This window comes from Homo sapiens, chromosome 20, assembly GCF_000001405.40.
Source record: "Homo sapiens chromosome 20, GRCh38.p14 Primary Assembly".
Classification (NCBI taxonomy): domain Eukaryota; kingdom Metazoa; phylum Chordata; class Mammalia; order Primates; family Hominidae; genus Homo; species Homo sapiens.
This window is the reverse complement of record NC_000020.11, coordinates 12,751,952-12,775,838: the sequence shown is the minus strand read 5'-3', so window position 1 is coordinate 12,775,838 and position 23,887 is coordinate 12,751,952. Positions and strand designations below refer to the sequence as shown.

At 41.5% G+C, this 23,887-nt stretch overlaps 5 annotated features.

The window, feature by feature from the left end:
- Positions 16,250-16,761: an enhancer, noted in NCBI's record as "OCT4-NANOG-H3K27ac hESC enhancer chr20:12739725-12740236 (GRCh37/hg19 assembly coordinates)". NCBI's record gives its function as "activates a minimal SCP1, AML or CMV promoter by ChIP-STARR-seq in naive and primed H9 embryonic stem cells {active_cell/tissue: H9 hESC(naive and primed)}" and the evidence as "EXISTENCE:reporter gene assay evidence [ECO:0000049][PMID:30033119]".
- Positions 19,059-19,614: an enhancer, noted in NCBI's record as "H3K27ac-H3K4me1 hESC enhancer chr20:12736872-12737427 (GRCh37/hg19 assembly coordinates)". NCBI's record gives its function as "activates a minimal SCP1, AML or CMV promoter by ChIP-STARR-seq in primed H9 embryonic stem cells {active_cell/tissue: H9 hESC(primed)}" and the evidence as "EXISTENCE:reporter gene assay evidence [ECO:0000049][PMID:30033119]".
- Positions 20,491-21,455: an enhancer, noted in NCBI's record as "NANOG-H3K27ac-H3K4me1 hESC enhancer chr20:12735031-12735995 (GRCh37/hg19 assembly coordinates)". NCBI's record gives its function as "activates a minimal SCP1, AML or CMV promoter by ChIP-STARR-seq in primed H9 embryonic stem cells {active_cell/tissue: H9 hESC(primed)}" and the evidence as "EXISTENCE:reporter gene assay evidence [ECO:0000049][PMID:30033119]".
- Positions 21,456-22,421: an enhancer, noted in NCBI's record as "OCT4-NANOG-H3K27ac-H3K4me1 hESC enhancer chr20:12734065-12735030 (GRCh37/hg19 assembly coordinates)". NCBI's record gives its function as "activates a minimal SCP1, AML or CMV promoter by ChIP-STARR-seq in primed H9 embryonic stem cells {active_cell/tissue: H9 hESC(primed)}" and the evidence as "EXISTENCE:reporter gene assay evidence [ECO:0000049][PMID:30033119]".
- Positions 22,422-23,387: an enhancer, noted in NCBI's record as "OCT4-NANOG-H3K27ac hESC enhancer chr20:12733099-12734064 (GRCh37/hg19 assembly coordinates)". NCBI's record gives its function as "activates a minimal SCP1, AML or CMV promoter by ChIP-STARR-seq in naive and primed H9 embryonic stem cells {active_cell/tissue: H9 hESC(naive and primed)}" and the evidence as "EXISTENCE:reporter gene assay evidence [ECO:0000049][PMID:30033119]".

The window sequence follows — 23,887 nt, the reverse complement described above, 5'->3', positions numbered from 1 at the left end:
ATAAAGCACATATGGAGTCAACAAACCAAGCATGATCAAGATCAATGTTCATTTCTGGCACTTAAGAAAGCACTTTATTTCCGTTAAAAATAGTTAAATTGGATACTTTTTCTTGAAAATAGAGCCTCTGCTCTTCTTCTCATTTTGCTCCATGTCTTCTTCTGAATTATTATTTATCATTTTTTGTAGCATTTGCACTTAAACAGAAAACAACTTTTGTAAAGGAGGTCTATACTACAGGTACTATTGGGAGGCGTCCTGGATGATAGCACAGAGATTATGTTCTCTCAAAGAGCAGCAAATCATTCACTCTGTTCCAAGAAAATTACTCATAGGGGCCTTCACAGAGAGATCTCACATCAAAGCTCATTTTTTTTTCGTCTCTGTGCTCCTGTTGTTTTTTGAAATCTTTGTGTTTGTGCATTCATATTCATTAGGAGTCAAAGCAATCTGCCGCCCTGGTTAATTTCCCCATGCCGACAGCAATAGAAATTCCTATGATATTGCCTGTGTTGGGTAGCGAGGAATCCCTAACTCAACTCAGTACTTTTCCCCACTGGGTAAATGATTCTTCAGAATAGTTAATAGGGCGTTGAAATCTGCACAGACAGAAATGCTAATGCCTCTGCCAAATACCTACGATTATCAGCTCAATCTTTAGTGGCTGGAATCTGACATAAATCCTCTGAATGTATTAAAGTCAGCCATAGTACCTGGCAGAGAGGCTTGTTATGTTGACCTTGAGCAAAGCCTTCCCTGACAGCAATTCAATAGAAAGATGGGTGCCAAGACTGTATTTTTATAAAGAAGGGAAAGAAGAAGCTGTTTAAGAATTTACTTTCATGCACCATAAAAGCCTCCTGTGTATGAGCCACATTCCAATGAGACCCTGAGGAAGAGAGACATTCCAAGCTGAGGGAGAGGGACATCTAAATGCCCATTATTGGTTATTTCACCATAGGGGCTGAAAGTGCCTAATGACTTTGTGTTCCCTTTGATAGAGTTTTATTGCTACAAACTGTGATATTTTGAAACAATATGGGTAGAAGATGATGTCTCTAAAGTTTCTCATAATCTGGACATAGGAATATATTGAATAAAACCCATAGAGATTTCTCAATTAGAATTAACTGCTAACGTTGAAATCCCCCGCATAAAACATGAAATAAAAAGAGTATCATTTATGAAATAGCTAAAGGGCCAATTCTCTTTCAAGTGCACGTTAAAAGTTGACAAGGCCAAATATCATAATAATGTTGAAGTAATAATATTTTGGAAATATTGGATTAAATATGAATAAAATTAATTTTATCCACTTCTTTTTACTATTTTCATGTGGCTACTAGAAAAGTTAAAATTACGTTTGTGGCCCGCATTGTATTTCTAATGGACAATCTTGCTCAGGAGCAGGGGTTGGCAAGCTGGCTAACGAGCCATATCTGGCCTGCAGCCTATTTTTATAAATGAAGCTTTATTGAAACACAACCACACTTATTTGTTTACATATGGTTTACATCTGCTTTTCTTCTTGATATCATTAGCCTTTTTAATTTTAGCTATTCTTATAGAAGAGTCCACTGTGTTTTGACCAGCTGTTTTGTACTCTGCCTTTTCTGCTATATGTTGCAATAATTATTTATGATCTTTTCTCATTTCCTCCTCCCACTGGACTTGGAGTATGACAGGGCAAGGGGCCCTGTCTTTATTTTCCATGAGGTGTCAAACACATTGTAGAAATATCCCCTGCTATGTATATTCAGTGACTGTTGAAAAATATTGCAATTTCAGGAACTTGAATCTCAGTCACAGCAGAGACAGAACTATGATAAACAATTTTGAGAATTTCTGGAACGCCAGGCTATCGGACCATGTTTTTTAAAAAAGAATCAGAAATGGATGCTCTATGTTTGGAAATTAATGAAGATACAATGTCCTTTCAAAGCCAAGGGCCAGTGGAAAAACTGAGGAAAGAAAACCACAGAGCCAAGGTTGAAACTCAGGTCCCTCTATTCTACCACTTAAGGCATCCCGAGATTTTGCCTCTTATTTCACAGTTAATCTCTTATCTTATTTCATTGACAAAAGTTATAAGAGAACAATCTCATCTGTCCACCAGGAAATCTATCAGCCCACATACATCTATACCGCTGTACCCTACCTTCCCTCCTGCTCCAATGGATGAACTGTTCCTTTCTTATTTTAGGATGGAACTTCCTCTTCTGTACTGGCTCCTGTGTTCTCTTGCTTACTTAAGAACTTCATCCTTAAAAATCTCTCTCTTCTCCAACATTAGTTTCTCCTTTTCTTGGATGATTCCTATCCCCAATCATTTTACTTTAAGCATCTTAAAAAACAAACAAACAAAAAACACTTTCCCCTAAACCACAAATAGTCCCTTCCTCCCAACCTTCTCTTTGGAGCAACAGTCCCCGAAGAGCTATTTAAATTTACTGTTTCCCAAAAACAAAGATAAATAGATGAAACTTAATTAAACTAAAAAGCTTCTACAGAGCAAAAGAAATAATCAGCAGAGTTAACAGACAACTCACAGAGTGGGATAAAATCTTCACAATCTATGTATCCGACAAATGACTAATATCCAGAATCTACAAAGGACTCAAACAAATCAGCAAGAAAAAAACCAATCCCATCAAAAAGTGGACTAAGGACACAAACAGACAATTCTCAAAAGAAGATATACAAATGGCCAACAAGCATATGGAAAAATGCTCAACATCACTAACGATCAGGAAAACGCAAATCAAAACCACAATGTGATACCACCCCACTCCTGCAAGAATGGCCATAATCAAAAAATCAAAAAATAATAGATGTTGGCACGGATGTGGTGAAAAGGGAACACTTTCACACTGTTGGTGGGAATGTAAAGTAGTACAATCACTATGGAAAAAAGGGCGGAGATTCTGTAAATAACTAAAAGTAGACCTTCAGTTTTATCCAGCAATCCCCGTATTAGGCATCTACCCAGAGGAAAAGAAGTCATACAGGAAAGACACTTGCACACACATGTTTATAGCAGCACAATTTGCAACTACAAAAATATGGAACCAGCCCAAATGCCCATCAATCAACGAATGGATAAAGAAAATGTGATATATAAATATATGATATATTTATACTATATATACACAGTATTATATAGTGTACATATATCCTATATGTACACTATACTACAGATACACTATACTATATATATAACATATATGTGATATATATGTAATATATATATAGTATACATATATATACACTATGGAATACTAATCAGCCATAAAAAAGAACAAAATAATGGCATTTTCAGCAACCTGGATGTAATTGGAGACAATTATTCTAAGTAAAGTAATTAAGGAATGGAAGACCAAACATTGTATGCTCTCACTCATTTGTGGGAGCTAAGCTATGAGGACGCAAAGACATAAGACTGATAAAGTGCCTGTAATCCTAGCACTTTGGGAGGCCAAGGCGGGCAGATCACGAGGTTAGGAGACAGACCATCCCGGCGAACACAGTGAAACCCCGTCTCCACTAAAAATACAAAAAATTAGCAGGGCGTGGTGGCGGGCGCCTGTAGTCCCAGCTATTCCGCGGGGCTGAGGCAGGAGAATGGTGTGAACCCCGTGGGGGCGGAGCTTTCAGTGAGCGGAGATCGCGCCACTGCACTCCAGCCTGAACGACAGAGCGAGACTCCGTCTCAAAAAAAAAAAAAAAAAATATATATATATATATATATATAGTGGACTTTGGGACTTTGGAGACTCGAGGGAAACGGTGGAGGGTGGCGAGGGATAAAAGACTACACTTTGAGTACAGTGTACACTGCTCGTGATGGGTGCCACAAAATCTCAGAATCACCACTAAAGAACTTATTCATGTAACCAAACACCACCTGTTTCCCAAAAACCTATTGAAATAGAAAATTTAAAAAAAAAATAAATTTACTGTTTCCACATCCTCAGCTTTCTGTTCTCTCCTCAGCCCACACCCATTAGCCCTTCATTCCCACCACTCCGCAGAAACTGTTCTTGCAAAGGTCAATACCCACCACCATCTTGCAACCCAATGGTAAATTTTCAATCCTTATTCTATTTAGCTTCTCATTAGCTTTTGACACAGTTGCACATTCCCTTTTCTAGATGTACTTTTCTACCCTTGGATTCCAGGATAACACTCTTTGCTTGTTTTCCTCCTACCTCTTTGGCCACTCTTTACAAAATTTATGTGGGGATACTCCTCCTTTTTCAGACCTCTAAATATTGGAGTCCCATAGCACTTTCTTTTTGTCTTTGCTTTTATTCACTCTCTACATGGTTTTATCAGTTCTATCACCTTAAATACCACGTGTATGCTAATAATATCCAAATTTAAATTTCCAGGTCTGTTCTCTCTTCTGACTGCAACTGCCAACTTAACACCTCCAGGTATATGTCTAATGGATAAACATAAATTGTTTGTGATTTAAAATTCAGTTTCTCCCATGTCTACTCCCCAAAATTGCTCTTCCTCCATCTTTATTATGTTGGTAAGTGACATCAACATTCACTAATTTGCTTAAGCCAAAAATCTATGAGTCATTCTTTATTTTTCTCTTTTCTACAACCTTCCAGTTTAAACCTAAGTTGTTAGCAAGTCTCTGCCTTCAAAAATTTATTTGCGTCCCAATGACTTTGCTTCCTTATTTAATCTATTGCTTCCTTATTTAATTTATGTGAGAGATAGCCACTCCTGTGAGAAGACTTTCTTATTCACATTACCTAAAATAAACCCAATTATTTCTGATGCTCAATATACCCTTAATTCTGCCTTGCTTTTCTTTATGATACTGATTGCCATCAGACATTTTATTAAACATTTGTGTTACATTTTTTGTTGCTTTACTTATTGTTTAGTGTTTTGTTTATATGTTTATTTTCATTATCTTCTTCTAGAATGTAAGTGCCATTAGAGAAGGGACTGGTAAGCTGTATCCAGCTTACACTAGGTTGCAAGAACCAACTCTCATTTAAAAAAAAAAAAAACTTTAATTTTCGTTAGGGGATACATGTGCAGATTTGTTATATAGCTAAACTCATGTCATGGGAGTTCGTTGCACAGATTATTTTGTCACCCACATATTAAGCCTAGTACCGATTAGTTATTTGATCTGATCCTCTCCCTCCTTCCACTCTCCACCCTCTTGTAGACTCCAGTGTCTGTTTTTCTCCTCTATATATCCATGTGTTCTCAGCATTTAGCTCTCACTTATAAGTGAAAACATGTGGTATTTGATTTTCTGTTCTTGCATTAGCTTGCTAAGGATAATGGCCTCCAGCTCCATCAATGTTCCTGCAAATGACATTATCTCACTCTTTTTATGGCTGCATAGTATTCCATACTGTATACATACCACATTTTCTTTATCCTTTCTACCATTAATGGGCATTTAGGTTGATTTCATGTCTTTGCTATTGTGAATAGTGCTGCAATGAACATATGCGTACATGTGTCTTTATGATAGAATGATTTATATTGGCTTGGGTATATACCCAGTAATGGTATTGCTGGGTCGAATGGTAGTTCTGTCTTCAGGTCTTTGAAGAATCACCACATCTTTTTCCATAATGGTTGAACTAATTTACACTCCCACCAACAGCGTATAAGCATTCTTTTTTCTCTGCCACCTTGCTAGCACCTGTTATTTTTTGACTTTTTAATCGTAGTCTTTCTGACTGGTGTGAGATGGTATCTCACTGTAGTTTCAATTTGCATTCCTCTAATGATAAGTGATATTGAGCCTTTTTTCATATGCTTCTTGGTTGCATGTATGTCTTCTTTTGAGAAGTGTCTGTTAATGTCATTTGCCCACTTCATAATGTTTTTTTCTTGTAAATTTGTTTGTTTCTTAAAGATGCTGTATGTCAGACCTTCGTTAGATGCATAGTTTGCAAAAATTTTCTCCCATTCTGTAGGTTGTCTATGTACTCTGTTGATGGTTTCATTTGCTGTGCAGAAGCTCTTTGTTTTAATTAGATCCCATTTGTCAATTTTTGCTTCCATTGCAATTGCTTTTGGAGTCTTCATCATGAAATCTTTGGTTATTCTTTTGTCCATAATGGTATTGACTAGGCTGTTTTCCAGGGTTTTTACAGTTTTGAGTTTTACATTTAAGTTTTAAATCCATCTTGAGTTGATTTACGTATGTATTAAAAGAAAGGGGTCCAGTTTCAATCTTCTGCATATGACTAGCCAGATATCCCAGCAACATTTATTAAGTAGGGAATCCTTCCCCTATTGCTTGTTTCTGTCAGCTTTGTTGAAGATCAGATAGTTGTAGGCGTGCAGTCTTATTTCTGGGTTCTCTATTCTGTTCCATTGGTGTATGTATCTGTTTTTGTACCAGTATTCTGTTGTTTTGGTTACTGCAGCCCTGCAGTATAGTTTGAAGTCCAGTAGCATGATGTTTCCAGCTTTATTCTTTTTGCTTAAGATCACCTTGGCTGTTTGGGCTCTTTTTTCATTCCATATGAATTTTAAATAGTTTTTTTCTAGTTCTGTAAAGAATGTCATTGGTAGTTTGATAGGAATAGCATTGAATCTATAAACTGTTTTGGGAAGTATGGCCATTTTAATGACATTGATTCTTCCTCTCCATGAGTGTGGGATGTTTTCTCATTTGTTTTTGTCATCTCTAATTTCTCCAAGCAGTGTTTTGTTGTTCTCATTGTAGAGATCTCTCACCTCCCTGGTTAGCTGTATTCCTAGGTATTTTATTTTATTTTTGTTGTGGCAATTGTGAATGGTATTGCATTCCTGACTTGGCTCTCAGGTTGACTGTTGTTGCTGTATAGGAATGAGAGCCAACTCTTAAATTTCCAAAAATTTTGAGAAATGGTCTTAAAAGGAAACAGGCACTAATTAAATTATATAAACTTATAATTAAATTCATCATATTGAAAACAAGTGCAATACTCAATCCTCATCACTTTCTAATTGCTTTATTACATTTTATTCTTATCTGTGTGCTTGTGGTAATTTTCACCTATTGTATCTGGAGATTAAAAATTCTACATAATGTTGTACTACTGCACATCTTTTTACCAAATCTGCGTTCACTTATGTTGGTAAGTTGAAACTGACCATGGCGGGTGTAGTCACACCATGGAAATTGGCAAATGTGATAAATAGGCTAAATAACATTCTAAGGCTACAGGCCTAGTAAGTGGGAGAGAAGGGACCTCAGTTCAAGCTGAGGCTCTCCAGGCTATGCTCACATGATCTCCCACGTGATCTACTACCTCACGTGATCATCCAGAAGGCCTTTTGCATCTCATTGGCTCTGATTGGCCCATGTGCATCAATTAGTGAACCAATGCCTGTGGCCGTGGGCTGGGCTGCTCAGGCCTGAGTCCAGAGAGGCATCCCAAAGTTGCAGTATACTGGCCGGGTGGGTGGCTCACGCCTGTAATCCCAGCACTTTGGGAGGCCAAGGCGGGTGGATCACCTGAGGTCAGGAGTTTGAGACCAGCGTGGTCAACATGGTGAAACTGCGTCTCTACTAAAAATACAAAAATTAGCCCGGCGTGGTGACGGGCACCTGTAATCCTAGCTACTCAGGAGGCTGAGGCAGGAGAATCGCTTGAACCCGGGAGGCGGAGGTTGCAGTGAGCCTAGATCGCGCCACTGCACTCCAGCTTGGGTGACAGAGTGAGACTTTGTCTCAAAAAAGAAAAAAAAAAAAAGTTGCTGTATCCTTCCCTGTCCACATTGCATGGACAAAAATAGCAGCCAGGACTTCCTCCTAGAGCTCTTAAGTAGAGTGAAAGCTGTAATGTTCACTACAGAGGACTCTCAAGTTGCAGGGCTTGGCGATTGTCACTGGGGTGGGATGGACTCCCCTACAGATATGCCGCAGGTTCCCTGAACCTTGAGGCGGTGGGGGAAAGTCAGTCCCTCTGGCAGAGTGATGGGCCTGAACAGGCTGAATCCTCTGTGACCTTGGGAAGTGGGGAAGACTCCATGTGCCATGCTGCGTGGGGGCTCCATCCCATTGTAGGAGCTGATTGACTGCTTGCTTGGATCAGCAGGCCTTCTCTCCCTATAAGGCTTTCAGCTCCCAGCCACAGCGCAGACATTTGAGAACTCATTGATGGAAGCCATTTCTGCTGGGCTTTTGAGGGACGTGTGGCAAGAAACCAAAAGTGTAGATCGCTATTGAGAAATGAGGGAGTCAGATCTTCACCAAATGAGACTCCCCGGGGCACAGAGACGACCCCTCCGGCTGTCCAGACCTTTCCACCTTGTCAGTTTAATAAATTTCAGCGCCATAGCCTGCTGGCAATTGTCCGTGCTTGGAGTGAGACAGTGATGTAATCCTGATTAAAATAGTTAATAAGGATTTAATGAGAGGTTATCTCCTTGTCTTCAATCATTTCCTGGTGAGAAGAAGATTCTGGAGCAGAACTCATTAGAGCTGTTCCTTTGCAGTTACTGAAATTACACTATTTTGAAATTACTCAAGGTTTTCAAGAAGCAAACTCATTTCAAGTCATTATTTTCTAATAAGATTCTATAGTATAAAAAGTGTTTTTTTCCAGGTCTATCTGTGTACCTTCTGTGTTGTGATAAGTGGAATGTTTAAGATACAAAAACAAAAAAGCATCCTCAACAGAATCCAGCTCCTGGGGTCACCCTGGTTACACTGGAAGCTATAAATCTCAGCCCCAACATTGACCATGTTTTGTGATCTTAGGCAACTAATTTTAAGTTTGTTAAGTTTGTTGTTGTTGTTGTTGTTGTTGTTTTAGATGGAATCTCACTCTGTCTCCCAGGCTGGAGTGCAGTGGTGCCATTTGGCTCACTGCACTCACTGCAACCTCCGCCTCCGAGGTTCAAGCGATTGTCTCACCTCCACCTCTGCCTCCTGAGTAGCTGGGACTACAGTCACACCCCACCACATCCAGCTAATTTTTGTGTTTTTAGTAAGGACGGGGTTTCACCATGTTGGCCAGGCTGGTCTCGAACTCCTATCTCAAGTGATCCACCCACTTCAGCCTCTCAAAGTGCTGGGATTACAGGCACAAGCCATCCAGCCTTGGCCTAATTTTCTGTACTTAAAATACAGAAAATGGGGATAAAAGTAATACTTGCCTTATAGGATTTATTTAAGGCATAAAAGAAGTAATCTGTAAAAAGTATTTAGAAAAGTTTCTGATGCATAGTGTGGGCCCAATGGGTGTGTCTGATCAAGGATCCTGGATTACATTAAAGCTAAGATGGAGAACTTTCTGCTTAGAAGTTTGACAAAGTGTATGGACCACCATCTGGTCAGATTCTGCCAGCAAATTACATTTTATTTCAGGTAATCTTAATGGCTCTCTGGGAAGCTGCTTCTGTCAGAGCACTTGGAAAATTACATCCAGGTGTATAGGGAATTTATTATTTGACCAAGAGTGCATTTTTACTCAGAATAGTTTCCTGTCTATATGCTGAAATGATTGCTGAAATAATTGCTACTTATATGGAAGAAATAATACCATGCTGAAATAATTGCTACCTATATGGAAGAAAACATGAGGTCCTTTCCTCACTCCACATACATATGTAAATTTCAGATAGATAAAAGACCTAAATAAAAACAAAAATAATAATCTTGGAACAAATTACAGGGGAATACTTTCATAACCTTGAGGTCATGGGGCATTCTTAACCAGGGCAGGAATCTCAGAAACCATCACGAAATGGAAATATTTGACTATCTAAATACCAAAGTAATATGTCGAATGTATCATTAGTAAAGTGGAAATGTAAACCGTATAGATTGTTAACATAACTACAACAGAAATGACATGATAAAGGTTACTGGTACTGCTGTTCAAATAACTCCTTCAATTGTTAAAATTAAAAATAATATACATGAGTCCAATAAGATGCTTAACCATATGCAGGAAATTGCAAATTACAAATGAATTACCATTTTTTCAGTCATCATAATTACAATCCAATGGGATGAGATTAGCTTTTCTTGTAGGGGGAGTGTAGCAAGGCAAGGAGCCACTGCCATACATTTCTGGTGGGAGAGTAAGTTGCTAACCCATTTGGGAAAATTACCTAGAAATATGGCTTAAAATTAAATATATTGATACCCTTTGTCCATGCCATCCCACTTTACGGAATGTTGCCTACAGAAATCAAAACACAAGAAGGTAATGATATATATAGGAGAATGTTTATTGCAGCTTTGCCGAGGAAGAAAATGAAAAGTAAGCTGGAAAATGCATCAACAAGGTAAAGATTGAATACGTAACAGTGGATACATGCTATTGAACATTATGCAACTTTTAAAGGAATTTATTTATTTTCCCATCTCCTAAATATGTTTTGCTGAGTCTCTCTTGCCTTTCATCTGGCTTTACTCAGCCTCAAAAAGGAGGCTTTACTGTGGCTTTGTTTACGGTTTTCTCCACATCAGTAGTAAGAGAATTGGACCCTGGATGGAAATTCACCTGTTAGATTCATATTCTGCGTGGCATGAAATTGCTGCCTGAAACAGAGCTGAGGGAGCAAGAGGAATGGAATATTGAAAATATATCAGGGCTAGCATGGAGGAGAACACAGGTAGCATGTAAATTATTCACTTAGTCTCTTTGCTTCATAATGAATATTAAAGGGGTGGCTTTTCCTGCTGTGGGGGAGGTTGCCTCTCTACAACATCGTAGAAGATTTAGCCTTACAACCTAGGCTTGTTCTCATGACAACATAGTTAATGTGACTATCTTCTGGGACCTGCCAGCTACAGTCATGACTACCTGCTACATCATCAAGCTCAATTAATTATTTTTCTAATGGCTTTATTACAGTGCCCTGTGATGACTGCAAAACAGTTCTTAGATTATCTGATCTAATTCATTCATGCTGTCATATCTGCAAATAATTATTAAATAATTGATATGTGTCAGACACTATTTTGGGCACTGGAAGAGTGAATCAAACAGACCAAGTCTGTACTCTTAGGAAATTTATATTCTAATCAAGGGCAGGAGTATAAAACAGACGATAGAAGAGTAAATGAATGGATGTATAGAAGAAGATGATGAGTGAATAAAGAAAAATAAAGCAAGTAAGGAGATGGAGAGTGCATACACATGGGTGTGCGTACACATACATGTATTATTTAAAATAGGGTGGTAAGATAGGCCTCTCTGCACAGATGATATTTCAGTCAGACTCTAGCAAAGAAAGAATATGGATTAATGTGGATTCCCAGGAAGGAGTGTTTCAGGCAGAAAGAACAGAAAGTGAAAGTCTTCCCAGGCAGCAGCATTCCTGGTGTTCATGTTCCCAGGTAGGACTAGATGGTCAGTGCATCTGGAACAGAAAACGGGATGAGGAGAGTGGAGGGAGATACCCTCATGGAGGAATGAGGTCACCAAGGTCCCCCTGGCTGTGGTGAGAATTATGGATTTTACTCTGCTTAAAGCCATCTGAGGGTTTTGAACAGAGGCTGATGAGATTGCACTTAACATTTTAACAGGGATCCCTTTGGCTGCTTGAAGAAACAGACAAGAGAAGCAAGGGTGGGGAGCGGCAGGAGTCTGCTTAAGAGGCTCTTTCAGAGGTTCAGGGGGAGATTATGGAGCCTGGACCAGGACGGAAGCTGTGGAATCAGGGAGCAGTGGTCTGATTTGGGACTTCCTGACGATGGAGCTGAGCAAAATTGCCGATGGCTTAGAAACAAGGAAAGAGAGGAGTCGAGGGCAATTCTCCTGGTTTTGGCTGAGCCCCTGGAAGAGCTCCTTTCACAGACATTTCTAGTCTTCTGATCTATATCCAGAGGCTTCATTAATCATAACGAGGTGGACATTTTGCACTCCAGACTTTGGGGCGAGCTCTGGAGGAGGCTTGTTCAGTAGGGTCTTGCTCCCCCGGTTCTCTAGGCTAATTACAAAACTCACACTTCTATCTTCCTTTAGAAGTGAACGAAAGTTGACCTCATTCAAATAAATCATTTAAAACTCAGAAGTATCTCGTGTGGTCTTTTTCCTATCCCTAATCTTATTCTGATTTTGAGTTTGAAACACCAGGGTCAAGTACTAACATGGTTTCTCCAGCTCGGCAGAGCTGATTTGAACCCAAACCTTCTGATCTCTGTGCCTCACCATGTGATGTCCCACATGAACCTGTGAAGCCATTCCCATGCCTTATATAATCTACACTTCCCAGTGACCTTGCCCATCATGTGGAGCAGATATAAATAGCTATATGGTGTGAACAAGGAAAGTGAAGCTCAGAATGATTTACTGAGATTCACAGAGATCATGCTGTTTGAGGTCATGGTGAGGACCTGAGTCTTCTGTTACTTAGGACTGTGCTGATGTGTCATGGTCCAGGAACCTGCAAGGCTGCTGACAACAACAAAGAATTAACAGACTACTTGTTTTCTCCCCCTAATCCAGCATCTTGCTGAAATACTGAGTTCCCTTAAAATAGGGCTTTCTGGAAAGCTAAATTCAGCAAGGCTCTGTTCTTGCAGAGTCTGCTGGCTTACTTAACCCCACTCAGAGAAGATTTTGGTAAGGTGCTCCAACTCAGAGCTCCGAGCTCCCCACTGACCAGGAAGGGTCAGTACAGAAAGCAGAACCCCAGTCAAGGAAAATGAAACTTCCTAAGTCTTCTCTGCACTAAAAAGCTAAAGTGGTTGCTCCACTCCACCTGGAGCAGGCTCATCAAAGAAGGCTGATCTTTGAGGGAGCAAGATCCCATCCTTTTCAGGGAATCACTGCTCCATGTCAGCTGAAAACTCAGAAGGCACAGAGACACCAGGGAAGGCGCTGAAGCCTTTCATTCCTGCCGCTCCTTGTGCTTGCCTCCAGCCTGCTGCAGCAGATGAAGCTGGCTGGCTTCACTCTGAGGTGCTTTGCAGCCCCGTCTGCTTAATTTCCGGTGGACCTTCAATGCCCAGGGAGAGCGCATGTTTTGCTTGTGATGTTGGTAATGAACTGCCGCTGGGAACAAATTAATGAGTGTGTCAGGAGCTGCAGTGGAACTGCATCACGATTCATAAACACCACAATGAAAATGCCAGTTAAGCTCTGGTATAAATACACACAAACTCTGAAGAAGCAAACTCTTTTTTCTTTTAATGAGAGAAGAATTTAAAATAACATCATTCTGCCCTGAGTAGCATTGTCAGGGGAGAATTTCTTAGCAGATAGTTTCTTTTTTTTTTTTTTTTTTTACAAAAAATCATTTAATACATACAGAAATATTAGAGGAATTTAATTTGACTGTTTACGTTTGGGTACATGCATACTATACTTTGAAATACACATAGCACATATACCGTATATGGGTTTGCAGTATACAAAAATGCAGAATGTCAAGTTTATAGGTTATGTACCATGTTTATTAAATGAGATCTTTCTCTTTTTATTGACTATCGTATGTTTCCATGGCCTTCTATTAATATCATTCCTCAGTATTCTGAGTTTGGAATTTGGATTCAGAAATTAAAATTCAATTAAAAAAACCCCATTGGTTGAGAGACCAATAACTTTAAAACTCATGGCTAGGGAATGAAAAGAAACTTCCATCACTCCAAAGGTGCAGCAGGATTGTGTTTGGGGCACCTGTAAGCATCCGAGTTTGTGACTGACCCCTGATATGCATACAGGTGCTTGTGTTTATGGAGCAAGATGTTGCTGGGAAGAGCCCCAACAGAAGGCCAACTATAGGGTTTCCTACAGAGCCTCTCTGTAGCCACCCCCAGTGCTACAGAGCAGAGCACTGGGGGCTGCTACAGAGAGGGTTGGGAAAAGGGGAAGGAATCTAAGTAGTCAAGCTCCAGGCTTTCTCCTCCCAATTCAACCAGAGCCTCTTTTATTTTATCTGGTTTACTTATTAGAGTTCCAGGTAAGGTTTTATTGTATATTATAAATTAAAGCTAGACGACTACAGGTTAGCAGTAGATTGAGCATGAGTTTTGAAATAGTAAGACTTGACTTCCAATATTAACTTTAGGATTTATGAGCTATTCGATGTGGGGCACATGTAACTTCTTTGAACCTTGATTTCTATCTAAGACAGAGTAATCATAATACCAACTTGCTTGGTTGCCTTGAGGATCAGAGATAGTGAATTAAAATGCCATGCACTTCATTGATTTTCACAAAAGACTGTGATTATTACAACAGATTCTAGCTGGTAACTTGTTATAAATTTAAGTGGTTTGTTTTCTTCTGACAACTGCAGAACATGAAGCCTCCTTCTTCCAACCACTCTAATGCCAAGGCTAGCAGAAGGTAATGTTGCCTTGAGTCAGAGAATCTATTTTAGCTAATGACTATCTCAAATGTTAAATAGAGTTTTAGACAGGAGAACAAAACTTGTTTGAAAGTATTGCTTATTTGTCATCAGTGACCAATTTGAATTTAGAATAATTGTGGGAAATGGTTTACTAAGGCTCAAAGAAATAGTTTAACAGTTCTTTTTACCACCCCATTTTCAGTTATGTTGTCCTCAATTGTTCTTTAGTAACTTCTTAACATTGTAACCTGTGAATTTCCATTCAAAACACTATGCAAAAGAGAAATCACAATGGCTAAATCAGGAATAGGTGGCAAATAAACTTTTCTAGCATAAAGGTTTGTCTGTGTTAAACTCTAGTTTAGTCTGTTTGTCTGACTTCAGAAATTGGATTTTTGTAGGGGCCATGTCACTGTTCTCTCCATTGCCTACATCCCTCCAGTCTTATTACAGATGTGCCTTGCTGCATCACATATTTCCTCTATTCCTTCTCAACAGATTGACTTCCTATTGACCTGGTTTTTTTTTTCCTTTAAGGAGATGCAGATCAATTGTTAATGAATCGCTCAGTGGTCAATACAATGGAAAGAATGACAAGAAATGCTCTGCTTTTAATAGAGGTCTTAGTCTTTAAGGGCAAATGAAGTGGGTTATATTTCAGAAATCATGGATTATAATCCAAACTGAATGATACTGACCAAAGGAAAGGAAAGACAACTTAACCTGTTCCCACTTTGCTGGTTTTTTTTCTTTTTTCAAATAGATTTTGTCTTTTGGGCAGCTTTTGGAAATTCTACTACCCAAATTGAACTATTTCAGATTAACTTTCTGCAGTTCAAAAACCAAAGATGAGATATTGTATGATCTTTTCAAACTTAGCAATTCAAGGTACAATTTTAATAGATGGATTCCATTTTACATGGGCAAAAGATCTTAAATGTTCTTTTCACAAAGCATCAGGGGATGTTAAGTTCTTGCATAACCAGGTATGTCCAGAGATGGGACACTCATTTTGCTCATTTATAGCAGTAAAATTGATGCTGTAGATAAAAACGGCTTCTATATGTCGTGAAAATTTATCCTTGAAGGGCAATTAATCAAGACATGAGAAAGGCCTTTAATGAATCCTTCCAGACAGAATTAGAGAAGACTGAGGATTCATTCAAATGCACACACCTACCAGACTTTCAGAAGTGCTTGTTGACTATTGAGGACCATCTTAGCACAGCTGGAGTGTTTCACATTAGCCAAGGTAGGCTCTAAGCTCAAGGTGCTCAAATTACTTTTAGGTGTAATGCCTGAAATGAAACAAAATTGAGAGGCAATGGTAAGTTACTCAGCAAAGAGGAGTGATTTGTGGTAGTTAAAGGAAGGTCAGGGTGAGCCCCAGCCTATTTTGTAGACTTCTGTTCAGCTCCCGTAGGAGAGCAGTTTTTTTTTTTTTATTATTTTACAAAGGTCTTTTGCTATGGCACTCATCTTTGAGGGACATACTTTAGTAATAGTAGGTATCATTCACTGGCAGAAGACCACCGGGACACTGATGTCAATTAAGATAATGATATGGTTTGGCTGGATCTCCACCCGAATCTCAACTTGAATTGTATCTCCCAGAATTCCCACGTGTTGTGGGAGGGAACCAGGGGGAGGTAATTGAATCATGGGGGCTGGTCATTCCTGTGATAGTGAATAAAGCTCAGGAGATCTGATGGGTTTATCAGGGGTTTCTGCTTTTGCTTCTTCCTCATTTTCTCTTGCTGCCACCATGTAAGAAGTGCCTTTTGCCTCCTGCCATGATTCTGAGACCTCCCCAGCCATGTGGAACTGTAAGTCCAACTAAACCTCTTTTTCTTCCCAGTCTCGGGTATGTCTTTATCAGCAGCATGAAATCTGACTCATACAGATACTTTCATGTGCGTCCGTGTGAAGAGACCACCAAACAGGCTTTGTGTGAGCAACATGGCTGTTTATTTCACCTGGGTGCAGGCAGGCTGAGTCCGAAAAGAGAGTCAGTGAAGGGAGATAAGGGTGGGGCCGTTTTATAGGATTTGGGTAGGTAAAGGAAAATTACAGTCAAAGGGGGTTTGTTCTCTGGCAGGCAGGAGTGGGGGTCGCAAGGTGCTCAGTGGGGGTGCTTTTTGAGCCAGGATGAGCCAGGAAAAGGACTTTCACAAGGTAATGTCATCAGTTAAGGCAAGGACCGGCCATTTACACTTCTTTTGTGGTGGAATGTCATCAGTTAAGGTGGGGCAGGGCATATTCACTTCTTTTGTGATTCTTCAGTTACTTCAGGCCACCTGGGCTTATATATGCGTGCAAGTCACAGGGGATGCGATGGCTTGGCTTGGGCTCAGAGGCCTGACATTCCTGCCTTCTTATATTAATAAGAAAAATAAAACAAAATGGTGTTGAAATGTTGGGGCGGCGAAAATTTTTGGGGGGTGGTATGGAGAGAGAATGGGCGATGTTTCTAAGGGCTGCTTCAAGCGGGATTAGGGGCGGCGTGGGAACCTAGAGTGGGAGAGATTAAGCTGAAGGGAGGTCTTGTGGTAAGGGGTGATATTGTGGGGATGTTAGAAGAAACGTTTGTCGTATAGAATGATAGGTGATGGCCTGGATACGGTTTTGGATGAATTGAGAAACTAAATGGAATAACAGAAGGAGAAAAACAGGTGTAAAAGGTCTAAGAATTGGGATGACTCAGGATATCTGATTAGGGAGTGCCTAAGGAGATTCAGCATAGTTCTGCCAGCAAAGATTATTTATTTACTTCAAGAGTTAAGAGTGGCAGTTTGGGGATAGCACCAGGAGATATCAGCTGTGATGGCTTGGAAAAACAGTGTAAACTGGCAGTGTAAACAAGAGCAGGGCATGTATGGGTAGTTGAGAACGGTGAATAGGAGTATGACTAGACAGAAGATAGTAGGGATGACAAGTTTTTTTGGGGGGGCACAGTCTAAGTTGGTCTGGTGTCTGGAATGAGACTGGGGCCTAATAAAAAGGCGTCTATACAGGAGCTTAAACGGGATGTACCTTGTAGCATTCTGAGGACAGGCCTGAATTCTGAGAAGCAAAAGTGGTAAAAGTATTGTCCAGTCCTTTTTAAGTTGGTGGCTGAGCTTGGTGAGGTGTGTTTTTAAAAGACCTTTAGTCCGTTCTACTTTTCTTGAAGACGGAGGACCGTAAGGGATATAAAGGTTTCACTGAATACTAAGAGCCTGAAAAACTGCTCGGCTGATTTGACTAATAAAGGCTGGTCTGTTATCAGACTGTATAGAGGTGGGAAGGCTAAACTGAGGAATTATGCCTGACAGAAGGGAAGAAATGACTGTGGTGGCCTTCTCAGACCCTGTAGGAAAGGCCTTTACTTATTCAGTGAAAGTGTCTATTTAGACTAAGAGGTATTTTAGTTTCCTGACTCAGGACATGTTTAGAAAAGCTAATTTGCCAGTCCTGGGTTGGGGCAAATCCTCGAGCTTGATGTGTAGGGAAGGGAGGGGGCCTGAATAATCCCTGAGGAGTAGTAGAATAGCAAATGGAACACTGAGAAGTTATTTCCTTGAGGATAGATTTCCATGATGGAAAGGAAATGAGAGGTTCTAAGAGGCGGGCTAGTGGCTTGTACTATAGCATAACCTGCCTTTGCTGGTGTGTGGCGATTAGGCCTGGTGGAACCGCCATCAATAAATCAAGCGTGATCAGGGTGAGGAACGGGAAACCAGGAAATTTGGGGAAATGGGGTGAATGTCAGGTGGATCAGAGAGATACAGTCATGGAGGTCAGGTGTGGTATCAGGAATAATGTGGGAGGCCGGATTGAAGTCTGGGCCGGGAACAATGGTAATTGTGGGAGACTCAACAAAGAGTGAGTACAGCTGAAGGAGCCGGGAAGCAGAAAGTATATGCATCAGGTATGAGGAGAAAATAGATTTTGGAAGTTATGAGAAATGTAGAGAGTGAGTTGAGAATGGTTTGTGATTTTTAGGGCCTCTAACAATATTAAAGCAGCGGCAGCCGCTGCACGCAGACATGAGGGCTAGGCTAAAACAGTAAGGTCAAGTTGTTTGGACAGAAAGGCTACACGGTGTGGTCCTGGCTCTTGCGTAAGAATTCTGTCTGTGCTAACCATGCCTAGGAAGGAAAGGAGTTGTTGTCTTGTAGAAGGTGCTGGGGTTTGAGAGATCAGTCGGACACGATTGGCAGGGAGAGCACATGTATTTTTATGAGAATTATGCCGAGATAGGTAACAGATGGGGAAGAAATTTGGGCTTGATTGAAGTAATGGGGGCTGTCTGTGAAGCTTTGTGGCAGTACAGCCTAGGTAATTTGCTGAGCTTGATGGGTGTCAGGGTCAGTCCAAGTGAAAGTGAAGAGAGGCTGGGATTAAGGGTGCAAAGGAATAGTAAAGAAAGCATGTTTGAGATCTAGAACAGAATAATGGGTTGTAGAGACAGGTATTGAGGATAGGAGAGTATATGGGTTTGGCACCACGGGGTGGATAGGCAAAACAATTTGGTCGATAAGGCGCAGATCCTGAACTAACTTGTAAGGCTTGTCTGGTTTTAGGACAGGTAAAATGGGGGAATTGTAAGGAGAGTTTATAGGCTTTAAAAGGCCATGCTGTAGCAGGCGAGTGATAACAGGCTTTAATCTTTTTAAAGCGTGCTGCGGGATGGTATATTGGCGTTTGGTGGGGTAAGGGTGATTAGGTTTTAATGAGATGGTAAGGGGTGCATAATCGGTCGCCAAGGAGGGAGTAGAGGTATCTTATACTTGTGGGTTAAGGTGGGGGATAGAAGAGGAGGATGCAAAGGAGGCTTTGGATTGGGAAGAAGGGCAGCAATGAGATACAGCTGTAGTCCAGGAATAGTCAGGGAAGCAGATAATTTAGTTAAAGTGTCTCGGCCTAATAAGGGAACTGGGCAGGTGGGGATAACTAAAAAGGAGTGCTTAAAAGAGTATTGTCTAAGTTGGCACCAGCGTTGGGGAGTTTTAAGAGGTTTAGAAGCCTGGCCGTCAATACCCACAACAGTTATGGAGGCAAGGGAAACAGGCCCTTGAAAAGAAGGTAATGTGGAGTGTGTAGCCTCTGTATTGATTAAGAAGGGGACGGGCTTACCTTCCACTGTGAGAGTTACCGGAAGCTCAGTGTCCGTGATGGTCTAGGGGGCTTCTGAGGCCATCGGGCAGTGTCAGTCTTCAGCCGCTAAGCCGAGATGATCTGGGAAGGAGTCAGTCGGAGAGCCTTGGGCCAGAGTTCCAGGGGCTCTGGGAGTGGCTGCTAAGTGAGTTGAACAGTCCGATTTTCAGTGGGGTCCCACACAGATGGGACGCGGCTTAGGAGGAATCCCGGGCTGCGGGCATTCCTTGGCCCAATGGCCAGATTTCTGGCATGTGTAGCAAGCTCCTGTGGGAGGAGGTTCTGGAGGAACGCCTGGCTGCTGCGGTTCAGGCTTTTGGAAATTCTTGTGTGCCGGAGATGTGGCTGGGGTTTGTCTCACAGTGGAGGCAAGGAATTGCAACTTTTTTCTATTATTGTACACCTTGAAGGCGAGGTTAATTAAATGCTGTTGTGGGGTTTGAGGGCTGGAATTTAATTTTTGGAGTTTTATTTAATGTCGGGAGCAGATTGGGTAATAAAATGTATTTTGAGAATAAGACGGCCTTTTGACCTTTTAGGGTCTAGGGCTGTAAAGTTTCTCAGGATTGCTGCCAAACAAGTCATGAACTGGGCTGGACTTTTATATTTGATGAAAAAGAGCCTAAACGCTATCTGATTTGGGATAAAGAAAAAGGAGCATTAACCTTGACTATGCCTTTGGCTCCAGCCACCTTTTTAAGAGTAAATTGCTGGGCAGGTGGGGGAGGGCTAGTCACGGAATGAAACTGTAAGCTGGACCAGGGTTGTGAGGAGGGGAGGTGATAAAAAGATTATAGGGTGGAGGAGGAGGGGCTGAGGAAGAATTGGGACCTAGCTCGGCCTGGCCAAGAGGGGAGAGGTCAGATGGGTCTGTAGAAAAGGAAGATTAGAAAGACTCAGTGACGCTTGGGGTTGGTACTGAGGGGACAGGTGGGAGGGAAAGAAGGAAGATTTGGGATGAGTTGCACTGGACACAGAGACTAGGAAGGGACTCATGTGTAAAAGAATGCCTGGACGTCAGGCACCTCAGACTGTTTGCCTATTTTACGACAAGAATTATTTAGATCTTGCAGGATGGAAAAATTCAAAGTGCCATTTTCTGGCTATTTGGAACTACTGTCGAGTTTGTATTGGGGTCAAGCAGCATTGCAGAAGAAAATAAGGCATTTAGGTTTTAGGTCAGGTGTGAGTTGAAGAGGTTTTAAGTTTTTGAGAACACAGGCCAAGGGAGTAGAAGGAGGAATGGAGGGTGGAAGGTTGCCTATAGTGAAGGAAGCAAGCCTAGAGAAAAGAGAGAGTATAGAAACGGAGGGAAGGGGTTCGGGGGTTCTTACCTTCCAAAAAAGTGGGAAAAGGGGTTGGGGTGCAGAGATAAGAGGTCGGGGGGCAGAAATAAGGGATGGGGCACAGAAGTAAGGGGTCGGGGCACCGAAATAAGGGATCGAGGGGCAGAGATGCGAGGTTGGGGTGCGGAAATAAGGGATTGGGGATTCTTGCCCCCCCAGAAAAGCGGGACTTGCCACTAAGGGTGAAGGAGAAGGGGTTGAGGGAAACTTGCCCTTGCCCCAGGAAAGCAGAGAAGGGGTAGAGACAAGGAGAGAAGGCGTTATGGTACTTGCCCCTTGCCCAGAAAAGCAGAGAAGGGGTTGGGGTACTTGCCCCTTCCCCAGAAAAGCGGGACTTGCCGCTAAGGGCGAAGGACCAAGGCAGGCGTCCCTGTGTGGTCTGACACCTTTGAAACATGGATGAATAATCAGGCATCCCTGCCATGATTAAACACCAAGGGAAGGCTGCCTTCCCAGTCCGTGACCGGCGCTGGAGTTTTGGGTCCACGGATAAAACGTGTCTCCTTTGTCTCTCCCCGAAAATGAAAGGAATTGAAATTAAGGGAGAGATTGAAGTGTGGCGCCAAGATTGAAAGGAGAAAGAGGTTGAGGGATAGTGAGGGAGGTTGGAGAAGAGAGTAAAAAGAGGCCGCTTACCAGATTTAAAATTGGTGAGATATTCCTTGGGCTGGTCGGTCTGAGGACCTGAGGTCGTAGGTGGATCTTTCTCACAGAGCGAAGAACAGGAGGACAGGGGATTGATCTCCCAAGGGAGGTCCCCCGATCAGAGTCATGGCACCAAATTTCATGTGCGTCCGTGTGAAGAGACCACCAAACAGGCTTTGTGTGAGCAACATGGCTGTTTATTTCACCTGGGTGCAGGTGGGCTGAGTCCAAAAAGAGAGTCAGCGAAGGGAGATAAGGGTGGGGCCGTTTTATAGGATTTGGGTAGGTAAAGGAAAATTACAGTCAAATGGGGTTTGTTCTCTGGCGGGCAGGAGTGGGGGTCGCAAGGTGCTCATTGGGGGTGCTTTTTGAGCCAGGATGTGCCAGGAAAAGGACTTTCACAAGGTAATGTCATCACTTAAGGCAAGAACCAGGCATTTACACTTCTTTTGTGGTGGAATGTCATCAGTTAAGGTAGGGCAGGGCATATTCACTTCTTTTGTGATTCTTCAGTTACTTCAGGCCATCTGGGCTTATATATGCGTGCAAGTCACAGGGGATGTGATGGCTTGGCTTGGGCTCAGAGGCCTGACAGATACTATCTTAGTTAATTTTCCTAGAAGCAAATTCTGAGATGAGGATCCAAGAGCAAGTGGTTTATTGGGAAAGCACTCCCAGGAAACACTGAAGCATGAGGGGATATTGATAAAGCATGAGTTTTTAAGTAAATTATCACTGGGGACAATGGGAGCTCAATCTCATTGGGAAGCTCCAGGAAATGATGTGGAATATGCTTCCGATTTACCTTATATGAGGAGCAAGGAGGGTCAGTGCAGAAGAGAAACAGGAGGCAGTGGCAGGGTGTGCTACAGATGGTGGCATTTTGATGAAGGAACTGATATCAGAAAAGGGCTTTGGAGATTGGGATGAGTTTGGAAAGGGCAGGAGGATATCCTGCACATGGGAAGATAAAGCAAAGAGAGGGAGCCAAAAAAAAAAAAAAATTACAGGAATGTGAGTTTCATGCGCATCTGTGTGAAGAGACCACCAAACAGGCTTTGTGCGAGCAATAAAGCTTTTAATCACCTGGGCGCAGGTGGGCTGAGTCTGAAAAGAGAGTCAGCGAAGGGAGATAGGGGTGGGGCCATTTTATAGGATTTGGGTAGGTAAAGGAAAATTATAGTCAAAGGTGGGTTGTTCTCTGGCGGGCAGAGTGTGGTCACAAGGTGCTCAGTGGGGGTGATTTTGAGCCAGGATGAGCCAGGAAAAGGACTTTCACAAGGTAATGTCATCACTTAAGGCAAGGACCGGCCATTTACACTTCTTTTGTGGTAGAATGTCATCAGTTAAGGTGGGGCAGGGCATATTCACACTCTTTTGTGATTCTTCAGTTACTTCAGGCCATGTGGGCGTGTATGTCCAAGTCACAGGGGATGTGATGGCTTGGCTTGGGCTCAGAGGCCTGACAGTGAGAACATTTGATACATTGATTCAAGAGCGAGGGACAGTACTGGGTTAATAATAACCACCCACTATTATTAATTTTTAAATAGCCACAGAATGGTTATTAAGCATGTAGGTTTTCCAAGCCCTGATCCTTTCTTTCTTCCTGTTGGCTTCTATTTGACCAAATCCTTGATGACTACCAGTAGGGGACAAGTAAGGAAAAAGAAGGGAAGGAGGAGGAGAAAGGTAAGAGGAGGACAAGGGGAAGAAGAAGATTAAGAAGGAGGAAGAGAGCAAAAGACAATGTAGACGATATACTCTAGAGCAGAAAATTTTGAGAATGGGTTTATGGGCCAATGTTAAACTGTGACAACTTTTTCTAGTCCACGGCAGAAAGAGAAACAAAAAGGCAGTGTAGTAAAATTCTTGTAAAGCTAAATCTAGTTTGATATCTTCTCAACATTTTGACATTAAAATTTTCTCTCCTTTATGTGACAATTTAATGGGTGGGTATTTTTTTTTTTTTTTTTTAGAAAAATACTTTCCCAAAGCAAAATAAAGAATTAGAAATCTCATGCTTCCATTTTTTTTTTTAAATGTGTATATATATTTTCCTGGTAGCAGAAACCCAGAGTCCTAGGACAATTAGCCTCCTCAACAGAGGCATTCCTTATATCACTCTAAAGAGCCAACAAATGGTAATGACTGCAGGTCACTCCTTAGCAAGGCTGCATAGAGAACACAGCATATTAGAGTGGATAACAGCACAGGCTAAGACTGGAAAAATTAGGACTCTATACCACGTGGACACTTGCTGTCCATGAGAACTTTTGTGGATTATTTAACCCTTTTTTTTTCTTGTGGTGCAATCTTGGCTCACTGCAGCCTCTACTTCCCGAGTTTAAGCAATTCTTCTGCCTCAGCCTCCCAAGTAGCTGGGATTACAGGGGTACGCCCCCACACCCAGCTAATTTTTGCATTTTTAGTAGAGACGGGGTTTCACCATGTTGGGCAAG